Raw genomic sequence first — 12,795 nt, forward strand, 5'->3', positions numbered from 1 at the left:
CCTAACCTTTCTGAGCTCAAGAAAGACCTGCCACTGACTGACCGTGGGGCTCTCCAGATTACTCCCCGTCCTTCCGTTCCCCCACATTCCTCAGATGCCTGCCTTACTCCCACACATGCCATCAGCATCAGCACAGTCCCCCACACATGCTGGGTGGATGCTTATTGCATATTTATTGTAATGCTTCTGAGGTTATGTTTTCTGTTATGTTTTTGATATAGAGTCTTGCTCTGTAGCCCAGGCTGGAGAGCAGTGGCACAATCATAGCTACTTCAAGTGGCACAATCAAGCCATCCTCCCATCTCAGCTTCCGAGTAGCTGGGATTACAGGTGCCTGCCACTACACCCAGCTAATTTTTTGTAATTTTAGTAGAGATGGGGTTTCACCATCTTGGCCAGGCTGGTCTTGAACTCCTGACCTCAAGTGATCCACCTGCCTTGGCCTCCCAAAGTGCTGGGATTACAGGTGTGAGCCACGGCGCCCAGCCCATTGTATCCTTCTTGTGACTTTGTGTCTTCATAGCTTAGCTCCTACTAATAAATGAGAACATACAATATTTGGTTTTCCATTCCTGAGTTACTTCACTCAGAATAATGGTGTCCAACTTCATCCAGATTGTTACGGATGCCATTATTCCCTTCCTTTTTACAGCTGAGTAATATTCCATGGCATATACATATATAGGGGTGTGTGTGTGTGTGTGTGTGTGTGTATATACACACACATTTTCTTCATCCACTTGTTGGCTGATGAGCATTTAGGTTGGTTCCATATTTTTTCGGTTGCAAATTATGCAGCTATAAACATGCATGTGCGAGTATCTTTTTTATATAATAACTTTTCTCCTCTGGGTAGATACCCGGTAGTGGGATTACTGGATCAAATGGTATTCTACTTTTAGTTTTTTAAGGAGTTGCCATACTGTTTTCCATAGTGGTTGTACTAGTTTACATTCCCACCACCAGTGTAAAAGTTTTCCCTTGTCACCATATTCACACCATTTTAGCTAGGCTGGTCTTGAACTCCTGACCTCAAGTGATCCACCTGCTTTGGCCTCCCAAAGTGCTGGGATTACAGGTGTGAGCCACTGCACCCTTCTATTCTTCTTTGATTTTTAAATTATGGCCATTCTTGCAGGAGTAAGGTGGCAACTTATTGCAGTTTTAATTTGCATTTCTCTGATAATTAGTGACGTTGAGCACATTTTCATATTTTTTTGGCCATTTCATTTTGTATATCTTCTTTTGAGAATTGTCTATTCATGTCCTTTGCCCACTTTTTGATGGGATTATTTTTTTTTTCTTGCTGATTTGTTTGAGTTCCTTGTAGAAACTGGATATTAGTCCTTTGTCAAATGCACAGTTTGCAAATATTTTCTCCCACTTTGAGGGTTGTCTGTTTTCTCTGCTGATTATTTATTTTGCTGTGCAGAAGCTTTTTACTTTAATTAGGTCCCATCTCTTTATTTTTGTTTTCGTTGCATTTATTTTTGGGTTCTTGGTCCTGAATTCTTTGCCTAAGCCAATGTCTGGAGGAGTTTTTCCGATGTTATCTTCTAGAATTTTTATGGTTTCAGGTTTTAGATTTAAGTCTTTGATCCATCTTGAGTTGATTTTTGTATGAGGATACTGTTTCATTCTTCTACATGTGGCTTGCCAATTATCCTGGCACCATTTGTTGAATAGGGTGTCCTTTCCGCACTATACGTTTTTCTTTGCTTTGTCAAAGACTAGTTAGCTGAAAGTATTTGGCTTTATTTCTGGGTTCTCTATTCTGTTCCCTTGATCTATGTGCCTATTTTTATACCGGTACCATTCTGCCATTATGTACCTTTTTTTTTTTTTTTTTTTTTTTTTTTTGAGATGGAGTCTCTCTCTGTCACCCAAGCTGGAGTGCAGTGGTGCGATCTTGGCTCGCTGCAAGCTCCACCTCCTGGGTTCATGCTATTCTCCTGCCTCAGCCTCCCGAGTAGCTGGGACTACAGGCGCCCACCACCACACCTGGCTAATTTTTTTTTTTTTTTTTTTTTGTATTTTAGTAGAGATGGGGTTTCACTGTGTTAGCCAGGATGGTCTCGATCTCCTGACCTCGTGATCTGCCTGCCTTAGCCTCCCAAGGTGCTGGGATTACAGATGTGAGCCACTGCACCCAGCCCTTGTACCTTTTAAGTGAACCATTTAGCCCATTTTCATTCAATGTTAGTATTGAGATATAAAGTGCTGTTCTATTCATCAGGCAAGTTGTTGCCTAAATACCTTATTTTTTTCATTGTGTTATTGTTTTATAGGCCCTAAGGCTTATAAAACAATATGCTGTAAGGAGGTTCTATTTTGGTGTATTTCGAGGTTTTGTTTCAAGACTTAGAACTCCGTTTAGCATTTCTTGTAGTACTGGCTTGGTAGTGGCGAATTCTTTCAGCATTTGTTTGTCTGAAAAAGACTTTATCTCTCCTTCATTTATGAAGCTTGGTTTTGCTGGATACAAAATTCTTGACTAACAATTATTTTGTTTAAGGAGGCTAACAACAGGACTCCAGTCCCTTCTGGCTTGTATGGTTTCTGCTGATAAATTAGCTGTTAATCTCATAGATTTTCCTTTACAGGTTACCTTATGCTTTTGTCTCACAGCTCTTAAGATTATTTCCTTCTTCTTGACTTTAGATACCCTGATGACATGTGCCTAGGTGAGGATCATTTTGTGATGAATTTCCCAGATGTTCTTTGAACTTCTTGTATCTGGATATCTAGATCTCTAGCAAGGCCAAGGAAGTTTTCCTCAATTATTCCCTCAAATAAGTTTTCCAAACTTTTAGATTTCTCTTCATCCTCAGCAACACCAATTATTCTTAAATTTGGCCATTTAACATAATCTCAAATTTCTTGGAGGCTTTGCTCATTTTTTAAAATTCTTTTTTCTTTGTCTTTGTCTGATTGGGTTAATTTGAAAGCTGTGTCTTCAAGCTCTGAAGTTCTTTCTTCTACTTGTTCTAGTCTATTGTTGAAACTTTCCAGTGCCTTTTGTATTTCTTTCAGTGTGTCTTTCATTTCCAGAAGCTGTGATTGTTTTTTCTTTGTGATATCTATTTCTCTGGAGAATTTTCATCCATATTCTGTATTTTTTAAAATTTCTTTAAGTTGGTTTTCACCTTCCTCTGCTATCTCCTTGAATAGCTTAATAATCAACCTTCTAAATTCTTTATATGGCAATTCAGAGATTTTTTGTTGGCTTGTATCTATTGCTGGGGAGCTAGCAATAGCTTTGGGGGGTGTTATAGAAATATGTTTTGTCATATTACCAGAATTACTTTTCCGGTTCCTTCTCATTTGGGTAGACTATTTCAGTGGAAAGATCTGAAACTCAACTCCTTCTGTTCAGGTTCTTTTGTCCCACGGGTTATTCCTTGATGTGGTACTCTCCTTCTCCTAGGAATAGGGCTTCCTGAGAGCCAGACTGCAGTGATTGTTATTGCTCTTCTGGGTATAGCCACCCACTGGGGCTATACCAGCCTTTGGGTTGGTGCTGGGGAATGTCTGCAAAGAGTCCTGTGATGTGATCATCTTCTGGTCTCCTAGCCATGGATACCAGCACCTACTCTGGTGTAGGTGACAGGCGAGTGAAGTAGACTCCGTGAGAGTCATTGGTTGTAGTTCTCTTTAGTGTGCTGTTTTCTCCAATGCTGGTTATGCTAGCAGTGAAGCTGTCATGTGGAGAGACTGAGGACCTCTGGTCAGTCAGGATGTTGCGGGCAGTGGTATTAGCTCTTGTCTTCTCCTTCCTGGGAATAGGGTTATTCTGTCATGAGTTGCTGTAATGGCCTGAGTTGGTTGGTCTCCAGCCAGGAAGTGGCACTTTCAAGAGAGCACCAGCTGCGGTAGTAGAAGGGAGATACAAGCTTGCCCTAGGTTGACCAGGGTAAGTATTCTAGTTTCTCAGGTGATTGGCAGGGCCATAAAGCTCCCACGAGTTTATGTCTTTTGTGTTCAGCTACCAGGATAAGTAGAGAAATACCATCAGGTGGAGGGCAGGGTTAGCTGGGTCTGAGCTCAGACTTTCCTTAAGCAGGGCTTGCTGCGGCCACTGTGAGGGATGCAGATTGTCCTAAGGCCAATGGGGTTTGTTACAGAGGGGATTATGGCTGCCTCTGCTGTGCCATATAGTTCGCCAGGGAAGTGGGGGATAGCTGGCAGCGAGAGGCCTCACCCAGATCACATGCAGTTGGCAAGGCTGGCCTTGCTCCCGCAGTGCCCCACTAACAATGCCAAGTTTAGATTCAGGCAGCCTGTGCGCAGAACTCAGACCTTGTCCCAGGCCATAAGCTTCTCCACTGAGAAAGCAAGCATGGCTTTCAGGCCTTGCCTCTCCCCATCTGCCCACAGTGTCAGTGGTGGCTCCTGGGCTCATATTTGCAGAAGTTCCTGTTCTCCCCCTGGATTCTGCTCAAGAAAATTCAAGCCCAGTAGAAATTATTAGAAAATCCATCTGGAAGCTTCTTTCACCCTGTGACCCCTCCCAAATTCTGCTGGCTGCTTTCCCCAAAGGCCTCTGTGAGATACCGCCAGGGATGGTGCCCTGGGCTTGAGCTGGACACTGGGAATGCCTACAGGATTCTTCCCACTTCTGCTTCTACTTTTACATTTTGCATGGTTCTCTGAATCCATTTCAGCTATGGGTAAGGTTAAATCCCTCTCCTGTAATCTGGATTTTCAGATTCCCCAGGGGCGATGTGTGTTTGGAGGCAGATTTTCCCTCCCTCACACTTTGGGAACTCCCAGTTTTTTGCCTGTCTCATAGAATTGGCAAGGAGCATGCCACTTCTTTCAAAGGATCTGTGAATTCTTTCAGTTTTCCTGGTACATTCCTGTGGTGGTTCTTGGCACACATTATTACATGATGTGGGTCTCCACATGCTGTCCGGTCCTTCCAAGTGGGAGCTGCATGTTAGCCCTGTCTCCTATCTGCCATCTTCCTCAGACTTCTAACATTAACTTTTAAAAAGCTTGGTGGGAAGAGACCAGGGCCAAAGTTCTCCTTCTTGGAGATGAAAGCCAAGAAGCACTTCCTTTGGGACAAGTCAGAAAAATCCTGACCAAATCAATGTGTGTTCCTGGCGATTCTGGCCCAGGCCTATTTCCTCCCCATCTGAGGAATTGCACAAACACAGCAGAACCCTTCTGCTGGCCCAGGACATGGAGAGGCTGGAGTGAAGTTGATCAGAGCTGGGATGGATCCTGGCTTCTGTCCCTGCACAGCTGTGGGCCTCTAGGATTATGCCTTGGAGACTGGCATCTGGCGTCTGGCATCTGTCCAATGGGAATAGTAATTCAATCATATAGGAGGATGGTGAAGGCCTTAGAGTGAACTCCAGGTCAAAGGTGGGGGACCAAGTACCATGATCCTGCCGAAAAGTCCAGATAGACCTGGACCAGGGGCAGAACCAGGGGTCAGGATGGGCATAAGTGGGCCTAATTGGAAGGTAAGTAGGAAGGCTGGGACACCAGGGCCAGGACTAGGGTGAGAGGAGGGAGGCACCAAGGACACCAAACGTAAGGAGGTCATTGACTTGCAGAGGACACATGAGTGGGAGAGGGATATTTCTTCCCTCCCTGATTTGATCCCATCAGTGATTGGCATAGTGGGCCGTGAGTGACGGTTTCCCCCACACCAAGCCTGAGAACTGTGAGAACTGTGGAGTTTTTGCGTGCCCTTTGGGACCCTCTTGTGTTCTACATAGAGTAGCCCCTGACCCTGGGAAAGCAGTGTGGCTTAGTGACCACTTCCGGAGTCAGAATGGGTGGCTGCCAATTTTTGTAATTTCAGGGGTTCTGAGGAAACCCATAAGTTGCCAACCAAAGAGGAAAACACTTCGTCTACCATCTTGTCCAAATTCAGGTCTTTTCAGCATTAGCAATTTATATAGATGGTTCTGAAAGTGTCTTGAGTCTTCTAGAGGCTCCATAAAATTGCACATGGCCTTGGCAAGCACAGAGGTGAAGCCATCACTCCTTAGGCATCGATTAGGCTGGTGACATCTGAAAGTGAGACCTGGAAGGTTGGAGGTGCAGGTGGTAGGTCAGGAGGCAGTAAGGTGGCTGGAGAATCCATGTGGACTCTCCAAAACTAATAGCCAGGTCTCCTCCTCCAGTCAACTGGTGCGGTGCTTGGAACCAGTGACCATCAGTCAGAAGGTCAAAGGGCATGAGGCATTGGAAGAGAGCAGATGCCAGGCAAAGTGATCTTGTGTAGGTCTGTTTTTGGTTTTGTTTGAATTCTGAGTACTCAGAGTTACCAAAACTGCAATGTCTGAGGGCACCCTTATCTTTGACACTAACTGCAAATTTAAGGGGATTCCTAAATCCGTCCTTAGATTTTATAATTCACTAGAGGAATTCACGTAACTCACTGAAAACTGTTATTGCATGACTGTGGTTTATCACAGGGAAAAAACACAGGTTAAAATCAGCCTAAGGAAGACACACAGGGCAGAGTCTAGGAGGGTTTCAGGTGTGAAGCTTCGTTGTCCTCAGGAGGCTGCGTTCTCCTGTGTCAATGTGGGACAAAACACATGGGGTGTTGCCAACCAGGGAAGCTCACCCAGTTAAGGAAAAATTCCTGTGAATCACATTAAATCAGGAAGAAAGCCTTTATTCAGGATTGTTGTTACAGGGGAGGGAGACTGAGCCCAGCTCCCAATACAGTAAAGACAGAGGGGGAGTCACAGCCAACACCAGAGTGAGGGGCAGCAGATGGAACAGGACTGACAGGAGGCACCAGAGTCGGGGGTTCATGCTAAACTGGCCTAACAGGATTTTCCCTAAAGGCAGGTCAGACACTCACCCATCAAGGGGCAGGTGAGGAGAGTGATCAGATAGCAAGTGTGCTCAGACAGTAAGAAGGGAGGACCCTCCCTAAACTGACTCGGGGGGATTCTTGCTGAGCCAGGGTTGTGCAGGCCCAGCAAGCACGGGATGGGCATGGAAGGCCAAGGTTGGTGCCTAGAGGAGAAGAGGCTCAGAAGAGCCCAACTGGAGTCTGGTCAAACAGAAAGTCTTTCTCAACCCATGCCTTAGTGTCCAGAGTGTTTGCTGGGGCTTGACCACAGGCTGCACTCATGGCTGACCTGGAGTTTCCAGCCCCTCCCTGAGGTCTCACACCTTTAGTCCCCAGATCCTCTGGTGGTGAGAAGAGATACCCAATAGCCCCAAACCCCCATCATCCATCACATTTGCTATACTGTCCTGTAGCCAAACCACCAGGGAAACAAAGACATTCCTACCAGGCAGGGCATTCCAGGGGCCTGGAGATCACTTCGCAGGGGTAGGGGACAATGGGAAGACCTCTCCTGGGATAAAGTTAATTCTTCACTGCGCAATTGTAGTGCAGTGAAGATTCTATTCCCAGAGGCCGGGGAAGGTTTGCAATTGCTTTGGTGCAGTGGGGCATGGGTAAACTTGCACCTTAGCTATAACAGCAGACAGAACAACCATAGTACAAATACAGGTAGTCAGTTGTGCAACTGTGTATTGGTAGACACAATGACAGCACATCACCGGCTAACCCCACAATATGGGGTGACTACCTGTACAACAATGTCACCAAGCCCTTGGGTTAAGCAATGATACATGGCTGGGTTGGTAGAATAAGTCTCTGCATATGGGTGCCTACCAATCCCCATGGAGATGGAGATGGCTGTGGGCCTGTGTCACCCACCCTTGGCCTTATTTGCCATTCAACTGGACTGGCAGATGCATCTCAGGGCATCCTTAATTGCCACAGTATATAGTTCCCCATTTAGACACGACCCCCAGTAACTGGAAAACGGTAAAAGCTAGAGATTACCAGATATGTGCATACTGGTGGTTCTACCCCTTGGCCATCTTTGCCTCCAAAGTGGCAACTGTAAATGCAGAGCTGCAATTCGTGTGCTGGCTAAACACACAGCTGCAGCCTTCAATGATACTCACCATCGTTTTACACTTCCCAATCAAGAAACCACCCAGATCAGGCATGTTCCTCTGCAAAATCGTATGACCCAAAATCATACAACTGCTGCCCATGGTGGAGCTTGTGCATTAATTAAAACAAAATGTTGTGTATATAGCCCTCATTACTCTCATAACATAACACAGGCTCTGCTGACGTTAGATACCCAGAGTCCAGCCACAGAGTCTTTGTCTTATGATCTTATCACCTCATGGTTTAATCAACTCCCAGACACGTGGAGAAACTTTGTATCTAGCGTAATTGCAATTGCGTTCATAATCCTTTGTTGAGGTTAGTGTTGCTGCTGGGGTGTCTGGCTGCAATGCTCTTCCACAAAACTGGCCCCAGGAAAATCACAGAAAAACAGTGTGATGAGATTGTGAGGGCCATTCAAGGCTATGCAGGGGTGTGGAGAGCATGGTGGGCATGTCCCGTCAGACAGCAATAACTGAAGCATCCCCTAAGAATAACCCTACATTCCTTGGTGAATTTTTGCTCAGTGTTCCAAGGTATGGATCCCGGGAATGGCCAATCCAGATGTTTACATCATACTTATGAAGAACTCTGTTCCTTGGATCAGAGGTTGTGCAAGGAATCAAGACCTTTTGTTTTGGGCTAGGTGGAGGTTTCCTGGCAGAGGTGCTAAGTGGAGGTTGCTCTGGGAAGAATATCATATAACCTGCATGCATTTGACAAACAGGAGGGGATTTCTTGTCTTGCCTGCTGCTCCTGGGCAACCTGTACATAAGCTCCCTGAATAAAGCTTATGTCTCACCTGCTGTCTCCAGGTCTTTTCTTCTGTCTCTCCAAGTCTGTGTCCTGTCAGCTCATTAGCATAGGGGTCCAGCATGACAAATATAAAACGGTGTTTAACATTCTTTGGATTATGTTTATATAAATGTGTTATTAATATGTGTTCCAAAATTGTACGAGATTCTATAGGTCTAATATGTCTTGGCATATGTTATCAGAAACTATTATTATTATTATGTTAAGTAGTTGTTTGCCACAGAAATAAAGTAATTTCCTTGTCGAATGTGTCTTTACCAATGCTGTTCTCATACTTTTGTTATCTGCAAAAAGTGTTTACTTTACATCTCAAAAAACAGTTTATGATCAGCTACAGATTGTGCCATCGGACTAAGAAAAAAATAAATCTTCCAGGACTGTAATTCAAAAGTTGATGTGGTCATGAAGATTGCTAACCCAATATCAAGTGGAAGAAGGTTATTACATGGGAATGAATTAATGGAGAACAAAAATAAATTTTTAATGACTTTTTGTTTAATATACGACTGATTCTTTTGTTTTGTTTTTCTTAGTCAAGAAAACTTCTTTTTCCCTTTGGGCTCCATGTAGCTTTTAACAATTGAATAAAGTATACTCTTGTGAGCAAAATTTGAAGCATATTTCTTTCTCACTATCTGATTTCTCCAGAATTTGGAAACTATTTGTGAGTATTCTTAGTTCATGGCAATAGAGTTATTTGCATAAGTTCAGTTGGAATCTGTTTTCTTTCATAACAGGACACAACTAGAGACACTGGTTATTTTACCAAGGCTTTGACTGGCATGGCATATTTCCACATGTACGTAGGCTGCTTTGAGTAATGGTGGCTGGCTTATAGAGCCGATGAAAGCCTCTTTGAAAAATTTTCCTCAAACTTTGCCTATACAGTTCCTTTACAGGGTTCCTGTCCTGTGGTAAGTAAAGAATGTCACTTTCTGACAGGCCCAGGAAGCCCAAGTTACCTTGGGACCTTGAGGAGAAAGGAACTCACCTAATATATATAGGCATCTGCAGGCAAATATAAATCACTGGCTGAGCTTGAGATTTTAAAAGGCCTACTCTGAGATATCTTATGAAAAAGAAAATATTGTAGCAAAGTCAATTTCCAAAAGGAGCCCATATGCCAAATAAGTATTCTTGCTGCACTTTATACAAATGATCAGGCCAAGAACCATCAGACTAAAACTTCTGTTGCAAATAAATTAGCCCTACTATGATTTGTCTTTGGTAGAAATACAGGACTAGAGAGAGAAAAGGTATGTTTCAAAAGAAACTAGAGAATGCCTGTTATTGGATTCTAGCTTTCTCCATTGTTTTCTAGCCGTATTGTTTGTCCACAGTTTATCTGGACTACATACTGAATTCTTTCCTGGCCACAAGTCTCCAAACTAATATTTTGCTTTTCTTTTTCTCTCATTTTTCTGACTTGGAATCACCAGAAATCCAAACTGTGCTTTTCTTAAAGTCCTGCAAACTGAAGCTTGAAAACTGTGTTATAGTGAAGGAAGAGAAAGACCCTCTCATATTATTTTTATATTGTTTTGTACTCAGTACCTGTTTTAAGAAAAAACAACAAGGAAGTAAAACCAAAGACAGGCAGCCCGGCGCCAGGCCCGAAACCAGGCCTGGGCCCGCCTGGCCTAAACCCATTAGTTAAAAATCAACTTATGATTCAGAAGCCGATGTTATTCATAGATTCCTTACATTATGTAGAAGAACATTGTGAAACTCCCTGCCCTGTTCTGTTCCCCCCTGACGACCTGTGTATGCAGCCCCTGTCACGTACCGCCTGCTTGCTCAAATCAATCATGACCCTTTCGTGTGAAATCTTTAGTGTTGTGAGCCCTTAAAAGGGACAGAAATTGTGCACTCAGGGAGCTCGGATTTTAAGGCAGTAGCTTGCCGATGCTCCCAGCTGAATAAAGCCCTTCCTTCTACTACTCGGTGTCTGAGAGGTTTTGTCTGCAGCTCGTCCTGCTACAATAGAATTCAGACCAAACTCGTGACCAGAGACTCATTTGCTTCTACAGTGTTTTGTCCAAAAGATGTTGAAGAACGGCCAGGCGCAGTGGCTCACGCCTGTAATCCCAGCGCTTTCGGAGGCCGAGGCAGGCAGATCACAACGCCAAGAGATCGAGACCATGCTGGCCAAGATGGTGAAACGCTGTCTGTACTAAAAATACAAAAATTAGCTGGGCTTGGTGGTGCGTGCCTGTAGTCCCAGCTACTTGGGAGGCTGAGGCAGGAGAATCACTTGAACCCGGGAGGTGGAGGTTGCAGTGAGCCGAGATCACAACACTGCACTCCAGCCTGGCAACAGAGCAAGAATCTGTCAAAAAAAAAAAAAAAAAAAAAGTTGTTGAAGAACAAGGAGAAAACGTGAAAGGAAAATCAAATCTTGGGACCCCAAAACTCACTGGAAACAGTTAAGCTTAGAAACGGAGTCACTCCAAAACCTGCCTTTGTTTTTGCTTCTAAGCAGATATTTGCGAAGACAAAAGGCAACATGTTCCCCAGGTAGCCTCCTTCACAAATTGCTCACAAGGAAACTCCTTGTGGGTCCCAGCAGTTTTTACCCTGAGGCAGACTTTGTGTAATTTCATTGTGACAATGCAAATTAGCAACTTATCTTTACTGGTACATGATAAATAACAAGACTTCTGCCCACCCTCAGAAAAATGCACATATGCCTGCTTCCTCTACTCTATGTTCATTTTTATCTTATATAAAATGTAGACGAACTGTGCATGAGACGAATGAATAATTGACTGTTCCTCTACCCCCTCCTTTCATAGACAACCTGTGGATTCAAGGAGGGCTAATCAAAGCTTCACAAGAATGTGACCACTCACCTCATTACCTATCCTGTCTTTTTTCCTTTCCTCCTTCCACTCCTGCCTGATTTTACACATTTAAATACTGGAGGCCTCAAAACCCTCTGTGAAAAACGAGTGGACCCCAGAACCTCCTGTGACTTGTGTGACTTTTTCCTGGGTGCATCCTCAACCTTGGCAGAGTAAACATCTAAACTGACTGAGACGTGTCCCAGACCCTCTTTGGTTTACAAGTCTTGCCTCCTCCCTGAGTTGCTGGATGAAAGCAACGTCCTCTCTTCTTGCCTCAGTTTCCTCATCTGCAAAATCAGATCATAATCCTGGCCCATTGAGGGGATGATTATAAAACTCAATCAAATGGAGAAGCATTTGCAAATGGAATGTATTGCAAAGTGTATTGTGCAGTCCCTGTGTAATCACCATTCTCTTCCTGCCTCATAAGCTGGTGTGTGTGTGTGTATGGGTGGGGTGAGGTGGACACGATGCCCCCAGAGATGTTTGCTCAGGATGAAATAGGCCCCCATGGAAGGGTCAGGTTGGCTTCTGTGGTTTAGCTGCCTTTGAGGCCCTTCTGCCTGGGGCAAAGCACAAAAGTCCAATAGCAATCTGGTTGCATGACTTCCTAGTCATGGAAGTGTGGCTGAGCAGTGGTCTCTAGTCCCTCCACCCTGTGTGCCTCGGGAGTGGAACACGGGGCAGTGGCCTCTGCTGGGGAGGATGCTGGGGGATCTCTGAAAGGAGGCAATGCCTGATTTTGTCACTGAACGATGAGCATGATTTTTCCAGGCGGTGGAAGCAGGTGCTCCCGGCAGAAGACCCCATATAAGCAAATATCTAGAAGCCACAAGGCATGGCCTTCAACAAGAGCAGGCCTGGTGCGGTGGCTCATGCCAAGGTGGGAGGATCACTTGAGGCCTGGAGTTCAAGAGTAGCCCAGTCAATATAGTGAGGCACCATCTCTAATATAATTTTTTTAAAAATTAGCTGGGTGGTTGGCTGATACCTGTAGAACCAGCTACTCAGGAGGCTGAGGTGGGGGGATGGCTTAAGCCCAGGGGTTTGAAGCTGCTGTGCGCGATGACTGTGGCACTGCAATTCAGTCTTGGTGACAGACTGAGACCCTGTCTCAAAAACATAACCAAAATAACCCCAACGGCATTACAATAAATATACAATAAGCATCCACAAGGC

The sequence above is a fragment of the Homo sapiens genome, chromosome 22 (genome assembly GCF_000001405.40).
Source record: "Homo sapiens chromosome 22, GRCh38.p14 Primary Assembly".
NCBI classification, from domain to species: Eukaryota; Metazoa; Chordata; class Mammalia; order Primates; family Hominidae; genus Homo; species Homo sapiens.